Genomic DNA, 23,425 nt, shown 5'->3' with positions numbered 1-23,425 from the left:
CAGGTCTTACATTGCAGTCTTTAATACATCTCGAGTTGATTTTTGTATATGGTGAGAGATGGGGTCCAGTTTCATTCGTCTGCATATAGCAATCCAATTTTCCCAGCATCATTTATTGAAGAGGATATCCTTTCCCCAATGTATGTTCGTGTTGACTTAGTCAAAGAACAGCTGGCTATAAATAATATGGCTTTATTTCCGGGTTCTCTCTTCTTTTTCAATGATCTATTTATCTATATTTATACCACTACCACACTGTTTTGGTAGCCCTGTGATGTGTTCCTTGATTCTGTATTTTTACAAAACATTATTGTATAAAATGCTTCAGGCAAGGTAAACTGAGGTCAATTACATGGAAGTTCATTTTCTGAGAGCATTTGCTCACTTTTGAAAGTTTATTACGAAAACATTACTTGACATATGTATATTTACACATATGTATATCACATACTTTAAAAATAGCAAAATTAAAATTCAAATCTCAAAATTTTAGTACAACAAATAGATCAATACAAGTATATACAGAAATTTGAAAAGCTGTTACTGTTTAGGAATGCTTATATTTGGGCAAAAGAAAAGGGGAAAAGAAAGAAAAAGTTTTGTCTCCACCATGTATCAGGGTCATTGCTACACTACTTATATTGCCTGTGTATTTTCTGTAGGCCTCTTAATAAAATTTTAAATAAAAGTAATTATTTTTATTCCCATTTGGCAGTTGCAGAAACTGAGGTTCATCTAAGTTGAGGACATTTTCCATGGTCATATAATTAGGAAAAGACTCAGTCAGGAAATTAACCAATCTGTTTTCCAGGGAAAGCTATTTCTACTACAGAGCCTCTGGAACATGGAGGACATTGTACTGATTATCAATTTGTGGCCCCTCAGCATCTAATTCATCCTTCAGTATATTCTCTGTGCTGATAGATGGGATTCCTTTAAGTATTTCTCCTTCACTGTGAGCATGGCTTCAAGTTTTCTCAGGAGAGGATGCAGCAGGGACATTGCAGGAGGAAACAGAGCTCCTGCATTTTTGGGTGTGGCACAGAAGGGCAGTAGAAGGTATCAGCAGTGTGGGTTAAGGATATCCAATGAAGCTCCACCTCAGTTTTGGGTCCAGGATATGCTGGAAATTATTATTCAGTAGAAAGCACCGATGTACAGCATAAACATCAGAGTGGTCCAATTATTATGGATATCCAATTGTTAATTCGGTTCTTAAACACAAACAAACCTGTGTTTAAGAACAGAATTTAACAACTGGACATCAACAACAAAGTTGTGAACCAAGGAATTCCCCTCACTTTAAATGGAAAAATCAAAAGTTTATTCTATAAATTTTAAATGACACATATTACATAACTGACCTGTCAGACGTTTAACAAAAATTTTTTTTTCAAGCAAGAGAAGGTCATAGACTGCCTAGAAAAGGGGGGAATGGTCAAACTTTTCTTCAGAGAGAAGGAGAGGGTTTCAAGAAGTTGAGGTAGCACGTGGAAATACCCAATTCTTTGTCCAAAAACCATGATTTAGTAATTTTTAGTGACTATGATAAGAAAAGAACACCAAGGTATTAGGAAAGAATAAGAAGAAATGATGATGATGATGGTATTAAGAGCAGTGAGAACTCCTTATTAAATAGATAATTCTCAAGACCTTACAAGAACAGAAAGATAAACATACATTTATAGGTCAAACATATTTTGGTGATGTGTTATGTCATGGCTATGAAATGAAACTATGGAAAACAAAATTATGGTTGTATAAGCTTGTGTGTTTAGAACTTGTATATTTGTTTTCTTTTCAGGCATAAAAATATTCCTAGGGAAGTCATAAGCAAATTATGAATTCCAAAGAAAGTAGATGTACACAGAATGAGCTCATTTTAGGCAGATGATTATAAAATGAGCAAATAGAGCCCATGTGAGGATGACCCATGCATCCCTGGAAGTATATAAAGGTCTTAGAAGAGTAGAGGACAGTCACACTTCAGAAATATCCTCCTACACCTCAACTGAAATCTAACCTCCTGAAATCATGTGTTGCAACTACTACAGAAACTGCTGTGGGGGCTGTGGATATGGCTCTGGCTGGAGTTCCGGCTGTGGATATGGTTGTGGCTATGGCTGTGGATACGGCTCTGGCTGTAGATATGGCTCTGGCTATGGAACTGGCTGTGGCTATGGCTGTGGATACGGCTCTGGCTGTGGATATGGCTGTGGATACAGCTCTAGCTGCTGTGGCTACCGACCACTTTGCTACAGAAGATGCTATTCCTCTTGCTACTAATCATCACTACAGGTCATCCTTGGCTTTGCAATGACCTCTCCAAGATCAAGTTCAATTGAAATCTCCCCTACCCATTATCTTCACATCTAAGTAAAGGTTGACTATGGTCACCTGACTATCTGAATGCATATAAGAGAAGCTGTTGGCAGTGGATGGAGACTGAGTAGTTTCATCACATCGCTGAAGAGAGGAGATTTTATTCTGATTAATTTTCTAGTGTAATTTTCTAATGTAAGCTCTTACATCTTTTTCTGAATCTTTGTGCCATGACTATTTGCTGAAACACAAGAGGACTATATAATTGGAGCATACTAAAATGGAAAAAAAATAGAATTTTCTTAATAAAAGGCCTTACTCACTAAGAAGTCTGGTCTCCTTAATGTCTCCTTAATTTGAGGTTTTGTGGCTTCCTCAAAAGCTGTGTGACCACAACTTTAAATAAGACAACGTTATTTTATTGGTTGAATCCAAATACTTGTGTTTTACATATTTCTTAATTCCTTGTATGTTAACTCTTTACATTTTTATTTAAACATGAACACAAATATTAAGCTCAAAATTTTAAAATATGCATGAAAAAAGAATTAGAATAGAACCAAGAATGAGACAGGGGATCTACTCATGAGGTTAATGCACTAGTTCAGCAATGACTATCTTGTTTGAGCTTAAGTCAAGGTAATTAAGAGGCAACAATATTAATTTAATGTTAATAGCTTTTGAAATATGTAAAACAAGAAATCTTAGACTAAGCAGATAAGTCTCCTACAAGTGCTCAAGATGGTGAGAAAGGATCAGGGCTCTTTTATGTTCCCACTCCCCACCCTTTCTGTGTGACTTTCATACTCATGGTTTTAAAGTGGTTGCTGTGTATGACCAACATTCTGCACAAGTAAGGACAAATGATGAAGAGCATCAGGTCTTTTAAAACTTTGTCCTCTTATTTGGGAAGGGACACTCTTCCTGGAAGAATTTTGACTGCCCTTGTTTGTACACATGTGTACTGTGACCACTCTTAGCTAAAGGTGTGTAAAGAACAAAAAGGTGTTCAGGGGTTCTGCTAGTCAGCAATCATGTGTGCCCAAAGTATGTAGGTCTTTGGGATCAAGAGGAAAGGACAAAAGACTGAGGAAGCAAAACCTCAGGTAAATGGCCATATGTTCCTACAGCAATTTGAGTTTGGGAAGGGGTACAATTTATGACTTCACTCATTTTTTTCCTTCAAGTGTAGAGGTTTGAGCTTAATATACTGTCCTATTTATATCATATTACTGTTTGTCCACACATAGCTCTTTTCCCTTTTTCTATTTTTTTTTGTCTAACAGAGTAATTTATTTATTCTCTTACATTTATCTTTTATTTCCATTCTCACACTCATCTCTCATTCATAAACACCTTGTTATTTATTATTTTATATGCAATACCCCTTTTCATCTTGTCAGTATCCCCCAAAAGTTGGCCATTCTACTATATATTTTCAACCTATTTAAATTGTATTATTATATATATTTTTTAAAACCCCTTTTCTTTCAGCACAATTGCAGTGAATGATTCATTTATGCTACTACGTGTACATTTAGACTATTATTTCTCATTGCCATATGATACTTCACGTGGCTAATACACAAGATTTTGCCTTTTGCTATCTCGGTGATGCACACATAATCACACCCAGCTCTTCTTCAGCACAACATTGCTGCAATGAACACGTGACCCTTATGGGCTTCTATGAAAGTCAATCCCAAAATCTGTCCTCACATATGTAACAATATTTGTTTACTCTAACATGCTAATGTTGCTTGTTTGCACAGTGACAAAGATATCATCTTGCTGTTTTAATTTATGTATCTCTTATTATTAATGGGTGTGAACAATTTTCTTTCCATATGTGTTATCCTTAATGTTTTCTCTTCCACATCCTTTGCTCATTTTCTAAACAGAAGTGTCTGTCTCTTTCTTATTGATTTGTAGGCATTTATTGTATAATCCTAATAAAATTCCCTTGTTATTTTTGACACTGGAAAAATCTCACAAACTGTCATTTGTTTATTTTTGTTAATAGTGTGCATAATTGCACCACATTGCAAACTGTAATTTCTGACTTTTTAGTTATTTAAAAGATGATACATATTATCTTTATTTCATTGATATTCTACATCTGTCAATTGAAAATTTTTACATTTCACTCTTTGATCATTAATCCACCTGGAGTCCACCTCTATATATGGTGGTCCAGTTTCATTTTTCATTATATTAAGCTAGATTCTCCAGCACCACCTACTAAACAGCTCACCATTTGTAACTGATTGGTGGTGACCATCGTTAGTCTATGATTTTATCACATATACAAGAGTTGGTCTCTGGACTTTGTACTATGCTTGATTTATGTTTATATTTCTTAGCATTTTTAAAAGGTTTTGCAGGGAAGGTATATGTGTGATACAGAATTAGGTTTATTCTGGTTTGTTTTTTCACTGAAGACAACTAGGTCCAATGGATAGAATTTAAAGACAGGAAGACTTAAAAAAATAAGACACTTTTCAAATGGCTAACACAGTATGAAGATGGAATAAGTTGTCTTGTTAGCATCCCTATCCTGAAGTTATTGAATAATTTGTATCTCCACCCCCTAGAAAATTCTGAGTAATTCTGCACTCTGAACGTGGACCTAATTAAATTATCCACATCATTCACTTCTACTTTGAAATTCTGTGATTGTATATGTAAAGGATCATTGAATGTTAGTTGTAGGCAAGCTGGATAAGAATGATATGGCCTATAATGCCAAGAAATAATACTCAATTTTATTATAGAGTTAGGAAGAAGAATGTAAGGTTTCACATGAGTTTTGAGGCTAACCTACTGTTAGATCAAGTTTTAAATGATTTCTGGGAGTCCATGCAGAAAATGGTTTCCAAAGCAGGAGAAAGAAAGACAACAGATTAGTAATACCCTTGCAGAAGCGCTCATTAGAGTGGTAAGATATTACTGCAATAATGTGTGGGATCTATTTCAGTTATTGAAGGGATCCCAGGAAGTACTCACTGTGGAATGCATATATCAGTAGAAAAACGTTATCTAATTACAATGGAAGACAGCAGAGAGGAGGAAAGAAAAGATCTACAAAACACCCAGAAAACAAGAAAATGCTCATATATATATTCATATATATATTCATATATATATTCATATATACATTCATATATATATTCATATATACATTCATACATACGTTCATATATATATTCATACATACGTTCATATATATATATTCATATATACGTTCATATATATATGTTCATATATATGTTCGTATATATGTTCGTATATATGTTCGTATATATTCGTATATATATACGTATATATTCGTATATATACGTATATATATTCGTGTATATATACGTATATATATACGTATATATATTCGTATATATATTCGTATATATATTCGTATATATATTCATATATATATATTCGTATATATATTCATATATATATATATCCGTATATATATAAACAAAGACCCAACTAAATGTTGCCTACAAGAAACTCACGTTGCTTTTAAGGACACATATAGATTGAAAGAACAAGGATGGAAAAAGGTATTCCATGCAAATTGAAACAAAAAAAGACCATATACATATATCAAATAAATTAGACTTTGAATTAAAAAAAACTGTAAAACAAGGAAAAGAAAGTCAGTATATAATGGTAAATGGATTAACTCATCAAGAAGACATAACAATTATAAACACATATGTACCCAATGTCAAACACCTAAAAATGTAAAGCAAATATTAATATAGTTGAAGAGACATTTACAATGTAATATTACTATTATTTTATTATTGTATTTTATTATACTATTATTATTATTATTCTTTCATCAATGAACAGATTATTCAGATAGAAAATAGGTAAGTAACCATTAGATCTGAACTATACTTTAGAGCAAATGGACCTAATAGGCGTATATAGGACATTTCATCCAACAGCAGCAGAATACAATTCTGCTCAAAACACAGAAAACATGCTTCAAAAGAAGTCTTAACATATTTAAGTTTTCTTTTGTTGTTTTGAAATGTGTTTCAAAACAGGTCTTAATATATTTAGGAAGACTGTGATTATATTAAGTATCTTTTCCAACCACAATGGTTTGAATCAACAAATCAATAATGGAAGGAATTTTGGAAAATGTGCAGATATATGAAAACTAAACAACATCATCATAAACAACAAATGAGTCAAGAATAAAAAGAAAGGAAAACTAAAGATATCTTGAAACAAACGAAAATAAAAGCATAACATACCAAAACGTTGGGATGCAGCAAAGGCAGATCTAAGAGGACATATGCAGATATGGCTCTGCCTGGGGTTCTGTCTGTGGATATGATTGTGGTTCTGGATATGGTTGTGGATATGGCTCTGGCTATGGTTATGGATATGGCTATGGCTGTGGCTATGGCTATGGATATGGCTCTGGCTGTGGCTATGGCTATGGATATGGCTCTGGCTCTGGCTATGGCTATGGCTCTGGCTATGGCTATGGCTATGGCTCTGGCTCTGGCTCTGGATATGGCTCTGGCTATCAATACGGCTCTGGATATGGATCTGGCTGTGGCTATGGCTATGGATATGGCTCTGGCTCTGGCTATGGCTGTGGATATGGCTCTGGCTATGGCTGTGGATATGGCTCTGGCTCTGGCTATGGCTGTGGATATGGCTCTGGCTGTCAATACGGCTCTGGATATGGATCTGACTGTGGCTATGGTTATGGATATGGCTCTGGCTCTGGCTATGGCTGTGGATATGGCTCTGGCTCTGGCTATGGCTGTGGATATGGAACTGGCTGTGGCTATGGTTGTGGATATGGCTCTGGCTCTGGCTATGGTTGTGGATATGGCTCTGGCTCTGGCTATGGCTGTGGATATGGAACTGGCTGTGGCTATGGTTGTGGATATGGCTCTGGCTGTAGATATGGCTCCGGCTGTCAATATGGCTCTGGATATGGAACTGGCTGTGGCTATGGCTGTGGATATGGCTCTGCCTCTGGCTATGGCTGTGGATATGGCTCTGGATATGGATTCGGCTCTCCCTACGGCTGTAAATACAGCTCTGGCTGCTGGGGCTGTCGACCATTTTGCTACAGAAGATGCTATTCCTCTTGCTGCTAATCATCACCACAGATGATCCTTGCCTTAATGATGACCTCTCCAAGATCAAGTCCAGTTGAAATCTCCCCTACCCATTATCTTCACATCTAAGTAAAGATTAACTATGGTCCACTAACTATCTGAATGAACATACAAGAAGCTGTTTGCAGTGGATGGAGACTGAGTAGTTCCATCACATCACTGAAGACAGAAGATTTTATTCTGATTAATTTTCCATTGTAAATTTTTACATCATCTTCTCTGTCTTTGTATTGTGGATTTCTGAAAAAGCACAGGAGGGCCACGTAATTGGTGCATACTACAAGGGAATAAAAATGGAAGTTTCTTAATAAAAAGCCTTGTTCAGTAGGAAAACTGGTCTCATGTCAGAATCAGCATTAGTTTCAGGGTTTGTGGCTTCCTTACAAGATGGGTGATGGCAACTTAAAATAAGATAATATTTTATTGGTTGAATCCAAATATTGGCTGTTTTACGTATTTTCTAAATTCTTTGTATGTTAATTATTTACATTCATATCTAAACACAAACACAAACATCACACTAAAATATTATAATATGCATGACCAAAGGACTAAAATAAGGAGATTAGTGAGAAAAGGAATCTACTTACGAGGTTAATGCACTAGTCCTGAAATGACTGGCTGTCCTGGGCTTAAGTCACGGGAATTAAGAGGCAACATTATTAATTTAATGTTAATAGCTTTCAAAATACATAAAACAAGAAATATTGCACCAAGCAGATAAGACTACTACAAATGCTCAAGGAAGTCAGAAAACATCAGGACCCTTTTGTCTTCCCACTCCCCACTCCTGCTGTGTGACTTTCATACTCATGGTTTCAAAGTGGTTGCTGTGTATGACCAACATCCTGCACGACTAAGGATAAATGATGAACATCAGGCCTTTTAAAACTTTTTTCCTTCATTGTGGGGAAGGTGAACACTTCCTGGAAGACTTTTGACTGCCCTGTTTGGACACATGTGTTCTGCGGCCACTCTTATCTGAAGATGGGTGTAATGAAAAAAAAAAGGGGGTTGTGGACTGGGGTTGTGCTAGTCAGCCAAGAATGTGTGCCCAAATTTTATAGGTCTTGGGGATCAAGAGGAAAGGACAAAAGGCTGAGCAAGCAAAATCTTAGGTAAATTAATATATGTCCTTACATCAATTTTAGTTAGGGCAGGTGCACAACTGATGTCTTCACTAATTTTTTTCTTGAAATGTAGAGGATTAATATACTCCCCTATTCATATAATGTTATTGTTTGAACACGCATGGATCTTTATGTGTTTTAATATTTTGCTAACATAATAATTTATTTATTCTCTTTTATTTCTTTTTGGTTTCCACCTTCATCTCTCATTTATAGCCATATTGCAATTTATCTCATATGCAACCATCCTTATTCATGTTTTCAAAGTCCCAAGAAAGTCGGTCATTTTATTAAATATTTTAAATCTATGTAAATGGTGTTATTTTATATCCTCTGAAGACCTTTTCTCTCTCAGTGCTATTTGTGTTGAAAGTCTCATTTATGCTATTATGTGTAGATTTAAACTATCATTTCTAATTGTTGGTTGGTACTCCATGTGGTTAATACACAAGATTTTGTCCATTCAGTATCTCAGGGATGCACACTTAAATCACACCCAGCCTCTTCAGCACAGCACTGGTGCAATGAACATGTCCTCCATGGGCTTCTATGAGAATCAATCCAAAATGTAAATTGCTGAGACAAATGATGTGTTTATATTTTATTTTAGTAAGTACCATCAGGTTAGTCTCCAGGATGTCTGCATCAGTCCAAACTGCCAAATTGCAGCTTATATGTCCTCAAACATGTGCCAATATTGTTTTATATCACCTTTTAATGTTTTTTTGAGAAGTAAAAAGTTATCTTGCTGTTTTAATTTGCATATCTCTGATTACTAACGGGTTTGAACATTTTCATTTCTTCCAGTATGTGTTAACCTTTGTGGTTTCTCTTCCATATCCTTTGCCCATTTTTCCATTGAGATTTCTGTCTTTTTCTTACTGATTTGTAGGACTTCATTGTATATTCTTGATAAATTTCCTTGTCATTTTTAGACACTGCAAATATCGCCAAAACTATCATTTATTTTTGCTCATATCGTGCATAATTGAACAAACATTTTAAATCTATGATTTGTTATTTTTTGAGAAGATCTACCTTATTTTTATGTCAAAGATATGCTACATTTTCTTTTATTATTTTTAAAGTTTTACACTTCACACTCAGATCATTAGTCCAGCTGGAGCCTACCTTTATATGCGGTGCTCCAGTTTCCCTTTTCACTGAATTAAGCCAGCTTCTTTAACACCACCTACTAAACCCTTTGTCATTGGTTGGTGTTGCCACCTCTATTCTCCGTTATTGCTTGTAAATGAGTTTATCTCTGTACTCTGTTTCATGCTTGTTTTATGTTTAAGTTGTTTGGCATTTTTCAAAGACTTCTTGTGTGTATGTGTGAGACAGAAAATTAGGTTTATTCTGCTTTGTGTTTCCACTGAAGACCACAAGATTCAATGGGTAGAATTTAAAGACAAATAAATTTTACAAGATAAATTGTTTTTTCTGCAAAATATCATGTTTATGAAAAAAATGCAAGGATTAGCCAGGCATGATGGTGCACACCTGTAGTCCCAGCTATTCAGGAGGCTGAGGTGGGTGGGTCACTTGAGCTTGGGAGGTTGAGGTTGCAGTGAGCCATGATCGCACGACTGCACGCCAGCCTGGGCAACAGAGTGAGATCCTGTCTCAAAAAAAAAAAAAAAAAAAAAAAGCAAAAAACAAAGAAACTTGTTCTTAAAGGCTAGAATAGTGTGAAATTGGAATAGGCTGTCTTGTAAACATTTCTATCCTGAAGTTGTTGAAGAATTTGCATCTTCAGTTAGAAAAGTCTGAGTAAATATGTGCATTCAAAACTTGGGCTTAATTAATTCATTCACATTATTCACTTCTACTTTGTAATTTAGTGATTCTATAATAAAAATAATTGAAGGTTGGGTCAGGGCAACATGAATAAGAATAATGTGACCCAAAAAGAAAAAATTATGCTCGATTCTATTGCAGAGTTAGGAAGGAGTATATCACGTTCAAAGTGAGCTTTGAAGCATCTACCTACTGTTAGAGTCAGTATTTCTGGATTTCTGGGATCTGTACAGAAAATGCAACTCAAAGCAGGGAAAAGAGGAACAAGATTAGTAAAGCCATTGCAGAGGAACTCATAAATGTGTTCATGGATTAATGCTATAATGAATATGGTCTGTTTCAGTTCTTGAAGGGATATAGCAACCTACTCACACTAGGATGCAGAGAGATTAGGAGATATAATATGGTAATAGTTCAGTTGCCCTGGGAAACAGTCATCTCATTCTGGTAACTCTTCAAGGACAGTTGAGGTGATGATCATTTGCCAGGATTATGTCCTCAATGGCATATTTCTTTGCTACTTATTTCTTTTCTTACTTTGGTTTAGTAACACAATTGCTCCCTAAAACTCAGTTTTCTTACATATAACATGGGATAAAATATCTTCTCAAAGTTTTTGGGAGGTTCACATTTCATAGTATTTCCAAAGGCAATTTGCATAATGTGAATTTTTGTAAGATCTCTTCATTATAATGAATTTCTTTGCTCTATGGGAGGCTGCAAAGGGAAAGCAGTAATCAGGGTTTTAAGAGACTAATTAATACATTTATGCACAGGGCTCTCTAAGACATATTCCCTGTAATTAGTGATAGATGTTCTATAATTAACGTTTATATTTTCTTAAATCTCCAGATGTAACATCTAAAATTATGAATATAAGCAAAATAGTCATACTCTCCAACATGATCTCTTTTCCTACGATACTAATCTTTTCAGTGATATCAAAATTTGAAATAAGGATCTGAATTGTTTTCCATTTAAAATAATAAAATGTTTTCCAACCAAATGTTTTCAAGTAGCAGATACACACTTTCCATAATTGTGGAATTGAATATATGTTATGATTACAGGTCCAGTGAATTGATGCAGTGGTCTCAGCAATAATTTATCGTATAAAATGCTTTCATCACATTGCAGTTAGTTTAACATTAAGATATTTTTCTCAGGATTTGTATTTGTTTTCTTCATTAACGTTCAATTAATAGAAATTGAACAAATGATTGGGGTACATATTATCACACACATTTTTAGTTGATGCTCAATTAGTTGAAGAACGTTTCTTATGTTTGTTCAGTTTATAAATGGTGGAGCCAGGATTCTGACACAGGTCTCTCTAATTTCAAAAGATTTTCCACTTTATAAACATTTGCAGGCTGGGAGTGGTGGCTCACACCTGTAATCCCAGCACTTTGGGAGGCAAAGGCAGGTGGATCACCTGATATCAGGAGTTCGAGACCAGCCTGACCAACATGATGAAACCCTGTCTCTACTGAAAATACAAAAATTAGCCAGGCATGGTGGCGGGTGCCTGTAATCCCAGCTGCCTGAGAGGCTGAGGTGGAAGATTGCTTGAACCTGGGAGGTGGAGGTTGCAGTGAGCCAACATGGCGCCATTGCACTCCAGCCTGGGCAACAAAAGCGAAACTCCGTTCCTACCCCCGCCAAAAAAAATCGTAAATTAGTCTGAGAGTGAGAAATGTAATGTAGTTTTTAAAGATGCAAAGACTAGTGGCTATCAGAAACTTGATTACAGACAAGCTATAGAAAGTTGCCTGGGATCCATAGTGAGAAGCTGGGATAGCACTTCAGTCACTATATTTCGTAGGGGAAGTAACCATACTTAATGGGACTAAAAAGAACCTAAAAAGTTTTATAGTAATGAAAAATGCTATGAAAAATCATAACATATTTAAGTTTAGTTTTGAATTAAAATTTTCTATAAAGACATTAAATCCTGAAAGTAGAACAACCAATTTAGGAAAACTAATTTTTGCAATCTTGGCATGAGGCAAGGGAAATGAATTTTCATTGGGAAATAATTGTAACTAAAATGAAAGAAGGGCTCCAAAATAGAAAAAAACAAAAAACAAAACAGTATTCCTTAAATATTTGCAATATTCTAATTGTGGCAAATGCTGACAAGCAAGGATTTGAAAATAAGTCTGAAAATTACTACTTGGGATATTCTGAAGACAGGAGAAGCAGTACCAGTAATCAGAATGTTAAATTTACTGTAAGATCAAGAGATATAAAATGCGACTGGGATGTAAATCAATGCAATTAGACATTGCAACACTATTACAAATTTATCATGAAAATTTGTCATTGAGGACATGTTTTGAGATGAGTAGATTTCTACTGCAGAAATGCACACATTTTTCTAAGATTAATATTATGTGGCAAACAAAACACAGATATCCTTGATTAAAGTGAAAATCTTCATAACAACAATAGCTGTTTTCTGAAAATTGATATGTGCCATCCTTTTTCAAAATTCTGAAGATTGTAAGTGACATGTAAGCTTCAAATATTGGCTCAGATTGCATATTTAGGTGAGAAAAAGTCTTTGATAGAGTTAAATAATTCTTACCTTGAAATATTTGAAATAAAATACAATAGAAGAAAATTGTTTAAATATAATAAAGGATTTTAACCAAATAGCAAAAGCAGCATGTTTTTATCTACTTCAGCCAAATAATAAAGCAATTTTAGTTATTATTAAGAAGCAGACAGGGTTAGCAGCTGCCAACATCATTATCAAGTGCAAAGAGAGAAGAAAATAAAATAATAGGCAAAAACATTGGAAAAAAGAAATGATCTTTTTGATTATATCTTTGTGTGCAAAGAAAACTCAAGCTATTAAAGTAAAACAAATATAGCAAAATTAATCAGAAAATTTGTAAGATGTATGAACACCAGAAAAATAAGTTTAAAAAGATTTTCTGCTTACCTACATTTAGAAATGGAGATGATTCTGATAATGTGCTATAACTATACAATGCTCAGGAAAAGCTAGAAAGAAAGTTTCAAAGACTTATTCAATTTGCACAATACTATAATAGAATATCTTATGAAAGAAAATAAAAAGCTGAAGAAATGGAAATGCAGATGTAATCTTGACCGGAAAGATCTATCATAAAATTTAAATCTTCTAAATTGATACGTAAATTAAGACATCTACTGGATTCTTTATTCAATAAAATTATTCAAAATGTGCATAAAATACATTATCAGGACTCAAGGGAAAATTTTCTCTCATGAGAAATGAGAATATTGTTTTGGTTTAAGAATAGAAAAATAAAAAGGAATATAAACAAGAATTTAGAAACACATCTGAGTACTTTTGAGAATATAACATAAGGTAAACTTCATAGTACAACATGGTGAAAAAAAATTATTTGAGAAATAGTGCCAATACAACTGACCGTCCATCTAGAAAACAATAAAAGTGGATCTTCAGTTAAACTATCTGTAAAAAGTATTGCAGAAATATTAACAGTTTAAGTATAAAAAGTGAAGTGAAAAAACAAACAAAGCAAAATGAAAATTAAAAAAGCCCTCTGCAAAAAAGAAAAACCAAGGGAGTACACATACACATCCACACACAACACAGTCACAAATGCACACACATTATACACACACACGTCCATATACACACACACAATGGAGACCTCTATCATGAACAGAAACCCAGAGACGAATGGGGATAATACAGGAATATTAATGTCTTAATATATAGAAAGTTATATAACTCAATAGAAAAATAGGCAGATGATTATAAGTAGACATTCTATGTAAGAGAAGTACAATAGTCCAAACATATTAAGATATTCAAATCCACTCGTAGTTAGGAAAATTCAAAATAAAAAAATCCATACTATTTTAATTTTATTTATCATCAGACAGGTAACAGTTTTTACGGTTGTTGCTGGCAGAGAGGTGTGGAAACCAACCAGCGTGCTTGTGCAGTGCTGGTGAAAGTGATGCCTCTGGCTCCTGTTGAGTCTGTGGGGTAGGAGTCTTCTCTTGACGTCCATACAGTTCTAGTTGCTCTGGCTATAGACTATCTAGTGACCTAAGGTGCCAGTTATTTTTATCCCAGATTGTGAATTCCAACACATTCTGTATATTTGACTTCATCTTCTTATATATAGTTTCCTTCTTTGTCCTTGCATGTAAATACTCTTCCTCTCCATACAAGTTTGAGAGTCACTTTCAAACATTTTATTGTTAAGTACTTGCAAATCAATGAAAAGATTTCAGTTTTTAGAATTTATACCTTATTTTTGGAAGACATAAAAACTCAGACACTCAGAAAAAAAACCACTTGTATTTGTTGATTCTGCATTGTTGTGATCATAATATTCTAAGAATAGGAGCTTAGAATGAGATTTCTAATAAAGTTTCCTTTGTGATAGGAAGTCTGCTTTTTGTATATCTTAGAACATTTATTGGTTGTAATCCAATGAATGATTACCTTTTATAACATAATCATTTATTGGTTGTAAGCCAATAATAGGTTACCTTTTATAAGCGAATCAACTACAGTATTGCTTATTTGGTTTTAGGTAAAATTAAGCATCTATTCACAAACATTTCAAAATTTCTGGTTAGTTCTTGACACTTCAAAGTGGACACACATCTGCATCCACAGCAGGTTTTACAGCAGGAGACACAGTGTGTTTTGCTATTTGTTGTGCTTTGATTTTTATATTGGCAGCTTTTGTGATAAGAAATAATGGCTTATAGACACCTTTAGTATGGTGATGAAGAGAGACTGCAGTAGCAATAACATGATTTGAAATATTCGCCCTCAGAAGCCTAGCGAATTGCCTCAAGCAAATATTTCTAAATCTAAGGTCTTTTACAAGTTTCCTGGGTTTTACCATTGATTTTTAAATTCCATTTAGTACAAATTGCATAATTAGTAACAATTTTACCTAAGCCAATCAGCCTTTTCCACAAATATATAGATATCTGTATTTTTGTGAAGTAAGTCATTTATTTTTAAAATATCTTTGGCATAGTTGGAGCTATTTCAAAGCACCGAAGGAAAGGAAAAGGAAAAAATTCAGAATAAGATGGTGGTGAAATTGCAGGTTTTAATCCAGATATGGAGATGGAATGGATTCGGGTATTTCCCAGATTAACAAAAAAGACTTAATGAAAGATAGTAACCTTGAATGAACTTTCCCAAAAAGAATAAAAAACACACCACAGCATGGGACTGTTGTAAATGTTTTGCAACAACAAAGAAGATTAATATATTACTAAAAACATACACAGAACAATATTTCTGAAAATGATTTACACTAGGAACCAGAAGAAAAATTTAGAATGTATTGCTTAATACCAAAAAAAAATTAAGAAGATCAACTCAATACCAAATTAAATAAGTCACTATATTGAGATAAGAAAAGGTATTGGTAGAATTAGAAAATAAAGTGAGGGAAGAAATAATATCAGAAAAGATTTTAAAGTGAAGAAAGAAAGAAAATAATATGAATAAAAATGTATCAGTGATAGAGGATAGACATGAAAAATATAATATTGAATCCAACAAATAGTCATGGTGAACAAAGTGACCAGAAGGTGGTAGCATCCAATTAGATGTTGTCCAGAAGATGACGGCACTCCAAAACAAGCATAACAGGTATCTTCAATGAAAACAATTGAAAAAAAAAAGAAACAAAAACATTAAATGGTACAGTAGGTGAAAATTTTATTAAATTGAAAAAATTAAATCTACTGATAACAAGAGTTGTCAATGTTCATCAAGATAAATGAAAAGCAGAAACAACAAAACATAACTTACCAGGATTATTGAACTTCATGAATAAACCGAAACCTACATGGGACTAGGGAGAGCCATCTAAAGAGAACAGTAACAATTCTGTCCTTTTCTTCCATAGCTAGGAAATCAGAAGGAAATAGAATATCAACTACAATATCTTGAGGAAAAGAGTTGCTACATCAAGAATTTTAACCTTACCCCAATATTGTTCATAGATTGAGATAACATTAAATTATTTTCAAATATGCAAACCTCCAGGAAGGATTACTAATGTAACTTGGAAAATGGAAAAACAAAGCAAGGTAAAACAATTAAAAAAACCCCAAAACTACTTGAAGATATACACTACTCAACTGAAGGTTGAATAGGAACAAATAATTGATAAATAGGAGAGTTTTGGTTCCAAGGGGTAATGTTAAGTATTAAAACCATTTAAACATACAGTTTAGTATAGATAATTAACATATGTCTAAAACCTAAAGAAATAAATTAAGTGCTAAGAGTAAAAATAATTAGAAAACTAGGAAAATGTTCAGTGAATATAACAATAAAAATAAAGGTAATTTGGGGATGTCGGAAATAGAAGAAACCCAGACTATAAAACAAAATAGAGAAAATAAAGGACACAAAAAGGAAGGATGTAAAACAAAATGTTATATTAAGAGACAGAAGTAAGATACAAATATACATGACAAATTTAGCTTTTCAAATAAATACATAAATTGAGTAAATACAAAAGCAAACTACAAATACTATTACATAATTTCTATGAGACTCACATGTAAAAATAAATCAGAAGTTAAAAATTAAATGTGAAGATTAGTTATCAAATGGAACAAATATAAAAATGTTTGCAAATTTAATATGAAACTTTAAATAAATGTAACATGTTTAAACAATTACAAAGGAGGCTTATATTTTACTGAAATGTAACTCAACAAGTGACATAGTATTGAAATCTATAAAGTCAAAACCAAAGTAAATGTTGTATCTAGAGATATTGGCAGAAAATCAGTACTAGTGTGAAACTAATTGCCTCCTTTAGTCCTTAAAAGATTACATTGAACACAGATAAATGAATGGGAAATTAAAAAGATTTCAAAACTATGTAATAAACTCCATGCACTACAGAAAATCACCTTCTTTTAAGCACTTGTAAGGTTTTTTTTTTTAATTGAACATCAATATATTCCAAAAGATAGAATTAGTGTAGGTTATAGACACTGGGAACAATATTAGAAAGCTAGAAATAAATAACAGAAGAAAAATAGTGTTAAAAAATGTGAGAATAAACAATTTTGTAGTCAAAGAAGAAAATAAATTAAAATTTAATAAGCAAGGAGACTGCATATAAAAACCTCTGGTATATTGCCAAAGCTGTATTTACAGGAAAGTTATAGAATTAAGCGCCTTTATTACATTCTTATTATATAAATGTAAAAATGGAACAAAAAGCTACTGAATTTGAAAATTTATATAAAGAAAAAATAGACAAAAAAAGCAGGAGAAAATAATTTTAGCTAAAATTAATGAATAGAAAACTGAAAAGCAGTATAAAGTATAATAAATCCAAGAGCTTTTTGTACCTTGGTGATAAATATCTAAGTGGTTTTTCAAAGAAGGAAAAAAACAGGCAAGCACACAAATTAGGGATAAATAAGAAGACAAAGCCAGCTGACACAGAAGTCAAAGCTATTGGGTAATACTTTCTATTGATTTATGTTAAAAATGTTAAAATCTAGAAAAATGTATTTTCTCCAGGAAGACCTAAATTGCTGAATGTTGCTAAAATAGATAGGAAATATATGTAGTTTAGTATCTATGAAATTCTTGAGGAAATTGTTCTACACCTACCCCTAAAAGCTATCCAGATAGCTTCAAAGACTTCAAGGAAGAGACAATTCTGAAGAGTTTGAGTAATCTATAGATCACAGGAAAAGGTAGGAAAGCTTCCAAACTTGTGAAACTGAGCACATAAATAATACTTTCATTTTGATTATATAGGCAAAAAGGTAAAATGTTATAGAAAACAGTTGTATTTTACATATAGTTACAATTATATTTCAAAAGACCCTTCACTAAGTAGTGCTCATTCTAAAACTGCTGGGAGAGTGCATATTGTGAATTCACATGATTAGTTTAAAGAAGATGAAAAGTATTCATTCATGTTGCAAAGACTTTTTTAATTGATGAACTGTTAATCCATTTTGGATGTTAGTTAAAACTAATTTTTTTTATACTTTAATTTCTGGGATACATGTGCAGAACGTGAATGTTTGTTGCATAGGTATACATGTGCCATGGTTGTTAGCTGCACCCATCAACCTATCATGTACAATAGGTATTTCTCCTAATGCTATTCCTCCCCTAGTCCCCAAGCCCCGACAGGCCCTGGTATGTGACGTTCCCCTCCCTGCGTCCATGTGTTCTCATTGTTCAGCTCCCACTTGTGAGTCAGAACATGTGGTGTGTTTTTCTGTCCTGTGTTAGTTTGCTGAGAATGATGGTTTCCAGCTTCATCCATGTTCCTGCAAAGGACATGAACTCATTCTTTTTTATGGCTGCATAGTATTCCATGGTGTATATGTGACACATTTTCTTTATCCAGTCTATCATTGATGGGCATTTGAGTTGGTTTCAAGTCTTTGCTATTGTGAATAGTGCTGTAATACACATACTTGCGCATGTGTCTTTATAGTAGAATGATTTATAATCCTTTGGGTATATACCCAGTAATGGGATTGCTGGATCAAATGGTATTTCTAGTTCTAGATCCTTGAGGAATTGCCACACTATCTTCCACAATGGTTGAACTAATTTACACTCCCACCAACGGTGTAAAAGCGTTCCTATTTCCCCACATTCTCTCCAGCATCTGTTGTTTCCTGATTTTTTAATGATTGCCGTTCTAACTGGCATGAGGTGGTATCTCACTGTGGTTTTGATTTGCATTTCTCTAATGACCAGTGATGATGAGCTATTTTTCATATGTTTGTTGGCAGCATAAATGTCTTCTTTTGAAAAGTGTCTTTTTATATCCTTCACCCACTTTTTGATGTTTTTTTTTTCTTGTAAATTTGTTTAAGCTCCTTGTATATTCTGGATATTAGCTCTTTGTCAGATGGGTAGATTGAAAAAACTTTCTCCCATTCTGTAGGATGCCTGTTAACTCTGATGACAGTTTCTTTTGCTATGCAGAAGTTCTTTAATTTAATTAGATCCCATTTGTCAATTTTGGCTTTTGTCGCCATTGCTTTTGATGTTTTAGTCATGAAGTCTTTGCCCATGCCTGTGTCCTGAATGGTATGGCCTAGATTTTTTTCTAGGGTTTTTATGGTTTTAGGTCTTATGTTTAAGTCTTTAATCCGTCTTGAGTTAATTTTTGTGTAAGGTGTAAGGAAGGGGTCCAGTTTCAGTTTTCTGCATATGGCTAGCCTGTTTTCCTAACACCATTAATTAAATAGGGAATCCTTTCCCCGTTGCTTGTTTTTGTCAGGTTTGTCAAAGATCAGATGGTTGTAAACGTGTGGCATCATTTCTGAGGCCTCTGTTCTGTTCCATTGGTCTATGTATCTGTTTTGGTACCAGTACCATGCTGTGTTGTTTACTGTAGCCTTGTGGTGTACTTTGAAGTCACGTAGTGTGATGCCTCCATCTTTGTTCTTTTTGCTGAGGATTGTCCTGGCTATATACTCTCTTTTTTGGTTCCATATGAAATTTAAAGTAGTTTTTTCTAATTCTGTGAAGAAAGTCAATGGTAGCTTGATGGGGGTAGCATTGAATCTATAAATTACTTTGGGCAGTATGGCCATTTTCACGATACTGATTCTTCCTATCCATGAGCCTGGAAGGTTTTTCCGTTTGTTTGTGTCCTCTCTGATTTCCTTGAGCAGTGGTTTGTAGTTCTGTTTGAAGAGGTCCTTCACATCCCTTTTAAGTTGTATTCCTAGGTATTTTATTCTCTTTGTAGCAATTGTGAATGGGAGTTTACTATGATTTGGCTCTCTGTCTATTATTGGTGTATAGAAATGCTTGTGATTTTTGCACATTGATTTTTGTATCCTGAGACTTTGCTGAAGTTCCTTATCACTTTAAAGAGTTTTTGGGCTGAGACGATGCAGTTTTCCAAATGTACAATCACGTCATCTCCAGACAGACACAATTTGACTTCTTCTCTTCCTATTTGGATACTCTTTATTTTTTTCTCTTGCCTGATTGCCCCGGGCAGAACTTCCAACACTATGTTGAATAGGAGTGGTGAGAGAGGGCATTCTTGTCTTTTGCCAGTTTTCAAAGGGAATGCTTCCAGCTTTTGCCCATTCAGTATGATATCGGCTGCTGGTTTGTCATAAAGAGCTCTTATTATTTTGAGATACATTCCATCAATACCTAGTTTATTGAGTGCTTTTAGCATGAAGTGTGTTGAATTTTATCCAAGGCTTTTTCTGTATCTATTGAGATAATCATGTGGTTTTTGTCATTGGTTCTGTTTATGTGAAGGATTACGTTTATTGATTTGCGTATGTTGAACCAGCCTTGCATCTGAGGGATGAAGCTGACTTGATCGTGGAGGATAAGCTTTTTGATGTGTCGCTGGATTTGGTTTGCCAGTATTTTATTGAGGATTTTTGCATCAATCTTCATGAGGGATATTGGCCTGAAGTTTTCTTTTTTTGTTGTATCTCTGCCAGGTTTTGGTATCAGGATGATTCTGGCCTCATAAATGAGTTAGGGAGGAGTCCCTCTTTTTCTATAGTTAGGATTAATTTTAGAAGGAATGGTACCAGGTCCTCTTTGTACCTCTGGCAGAATTCAGCTGTTAATCCGTCTGGTTCTGGGCTTCTTTTTCGTTAGTAGGCTATCAATTACTGCCTCAATTTCAGAACTTGTTATTGGTCTATTCAGGGATTCAACTTGTTCCTGGTTTAATCTTGGGAGGGTGTGTGTGTCCAGGAATTTATCCATTTCTTCTAGACTTTCTAGTTTTTTGTGTGTAGAGATGTTTATAATATTCTCTGGTGGTGGTTTGTATTTCTGTGGGATCTGTGGTGATATCCCCTTTATCATTTTTTATTGTGTCTATTTGATGCTTCTTCTCTCTTTTCTTCTTTATCAGTCTGGCTAGCGTGCTATCTATTTTATTCATCTTTTCAAAAAACTACCTCCTGGATTCATTGATTTTTTTGAAGGGTTTTTCGTGTCTCTATCTCCTTCAGTTCTGCTCTGATTTTAGTTATTTCTTGTCTTCTGCTAGCTTTTGAATTTATTTGCTCTTGCTGCTCTAGTTCTTGTAATTGTGATGTTAGGGTGTCGATTTTAGATCTTTCCCACTTTCTTTTGTGGGTATTTAGTGCTAATAATTTTCCTCTAAACACTGATTAAGCTGTAGCCCAGAGATTCTGGTACATTGTGTCTTTGTTCTCATTGGTTTCAAAGAAATTATTTATTTCTGCCTTAATTTCATTATTTACCCAGCAGTCATTCAGGAGCACGTTGTTCAGTTTCCATGTAGTTGTGCAGTTTTGAGTGAGTTTCTTAATCCTGAGTTCTAATTTGATTACACTGTGGTCTGAGAGACTGTTTGTTATGATTTCCGTTCTTTTTAAATGAAATTCGGCGTCCATTCACAGTAAAAAAAAAAAGTGATTAGTAAAATTTGTGAGGAATATTTATCTTTTACAAGACAAATTTTAACATCAAGTTTATGGTTGAAATCCTAAAAATTCCCACAAATGAGTAAGATAATGGTGTCCACCATCACCATTTAAAAAAATTAATAAGGTAATAAGATGAAATAATGCATGCAGCTAATGTAAGACTAGGTGAGTTGGCTATTGACTCAGAAAACCTAAAAGAACAGCTAAAAATATTAAAAATAAATAATAAATTTCTCAAGGGTATTGGTTATAAATAAATACACCAAAATAAATACCAATAAAATCTCGTAGTGAATAGACTGGAAACAGGATGAAGTCAAGACAGCAGACTCTTCACTCATTTATTTTATAGCTATGGTTCTCCAGTTTCAGCATGCATAAGAATCACTGGAGACTGTGCTGAAACAGATTTCTGGGCCTCAGACATGCTGATTCCAGAGATGCTGATTCAGTTTTTCTGGGTGGGGCTTGAGAATTTGCCTTTCTAACAAGTTTACAGTGATCCTAATGCTGCTGGTTCCTGGACTATTTTTGAATAGCCTACAACTCTGTGAAGTTGAAGTCCTATCCAGCCATGTTTCACAAAAAAGCAAGCCTTGCCAAATCTTCAATACCCTTTCATGTGTGCTATCCCAGTGAAGTACACCTTCACCTCCTGAAGCCCACTCCCTCACTGGGACTTCGTAATCCAGCATTCATCTGTTTCCCACATTCACCTCTAAGTTCTGGAAGAAAACATTCACCCGTTTTCCAATTCTACCTCTAAGTTTTGGAAGAAACATGGGTCCTCCTGTTTCTTCCAAAACTTAGAAGTAGTTAGAGAACAAAGGTAAAACTCCACCATCAACCCTAATTCAATGTCATTGCCATTCCTAAAACTTAAAAGGAAGAGAAGATGGAAAAGAAAAGATAAGGAATAGAGAAAACAGATCAGAGAAGCTGAAAGGAAAGCCTCCAATGCAGCCACGCCATTGTTGGAGATGGTTTTTACCTGTAAGTTTCTCAGCCTTGCAGCATCCACTCCCCATGCCTTTCAATCCCCTTGTACCTACTCATTGCTTTTCTCAGATATTGTGCTTTCAGACTGATTTGATTTCAGATTCATTGCTTTTCTCAGATATTGCACTTTCAGATTTATTTGAAGCTTTCCTTTATTTAGAGCAGTGACTCAAATCCGAATGCATGTCAGATTCCATTAAATGGCAATACCTGAGTCCCACCTTTGAGATTTTGGTTTTATTGGTCTGAGATGGGAGTACTGGCATTTTATTAAAGTTTTCCCACGAAATACAATGCACATCCATGATTGAGAAGATATCCCTATCACCTCAAAGTTGGCTAAGAATTGTGCCCCAGACCACAGAAGTGAGAATTTTCCCCAAATTGCCAAACCATCTTTCTTTTCTTCCACCTGGAAATGTGTACTTTCCATTTGATTGAGATTAAAGTTCAAAAGTATCTCTGTAGTTAAATTTGTGTGGAGAATGCAAATTATAACAATGACTGAGGATTCAGGCAGTTCAGCTTCTGACTTACGGTTGATGACTGATTTTATGCGTCAACTTG

At 34.3% G+C, this 23,425-nt stretch overlaps 1 protein-coding gene and 1 pseudogene across 1 annotated transcript, besides 2 other annotated features; both read left to right on the top strand.

Moving 5' to 3' along the window:
• The first annotated feature begins 1,977 nt into the window (after positions 1-1,977).
• Positions 1,978-2,443, top strand: KRTAP21-2 (keratin associated protein 21-2). The gene has a single exon (NM_181617.3). The coding sequence runs from the start codon at positions 2,035-2,037 to the stop codon at positions 2,284-2,286; it is 252 nt and encodes an 83-aa protein (NP_853648.1). The 5' UTR covers positions 1,978-2,034; the 3' UTR covers positions 2,287-2,443.
• Positions 6,514-7,014: an enhancer, noted in NCBI's record as "H3K27ac hESC enhancer chr21:32114541-32115041 (GRCh37/hg19 assembly coordinates)". NCBI's record gives its function as "activates a minimal SCP1, AML or CMV promoter by ChIP-STARR-seq in naive H9 embryonic stem cells {active_cell/tissue: H9 hESC(naive)}" and the evidence as "EXISTENCE:reporter gene assay evidence [ECO:0000049][PMID:30033119]".
• KRTAP21-4P (keratin associated protein 21-4, pseudogene) lies at positions 6,623-7,456 on the top strand (annotated as a pseudogene).
• Positions 7,015-7,515: an enhancer, noted in NCBI's record as "H3K27ac hESC enhancer chr21:32114040-32114540 (GRCh37/hg19 assembly coordinates)". NCBI's record gives its function as "activates a minimal SCP1, AML or CMV promoter by ChIP-STARR-seq in naive H9 embryonic stem cells {active_cell/tissue: H9 hESC(naive)}" and the evidence as "EXISTENCE:reporter gene assay evidence [ECO:0000049][PMID:30033119]".

Source organism: Homo sapiens, chromosome 21, assembly GCF_000001405.40.
Source record: "Homo sapiens chromosome 21, GRCh38.p14 Primary Assembly".
NCBI lineage: Eukaryota > Metazoa > Chordata > Mammalia > Primates > Hominidae > Homo > Homo sapiens.
This window is presented reverse-complemented; position numbering and strand designations above follow the sequence as displayed.

Bases quoted from the DNA above. Each gene is read 5' to 3' on its own strand.
- KRTAP21-2 (NM_181617.3), top strand. From the start codon at position 2,035: ATGTGTTGCAACTACTACAGAAACTGCTGTGGGGGCTGTGGATATGGC.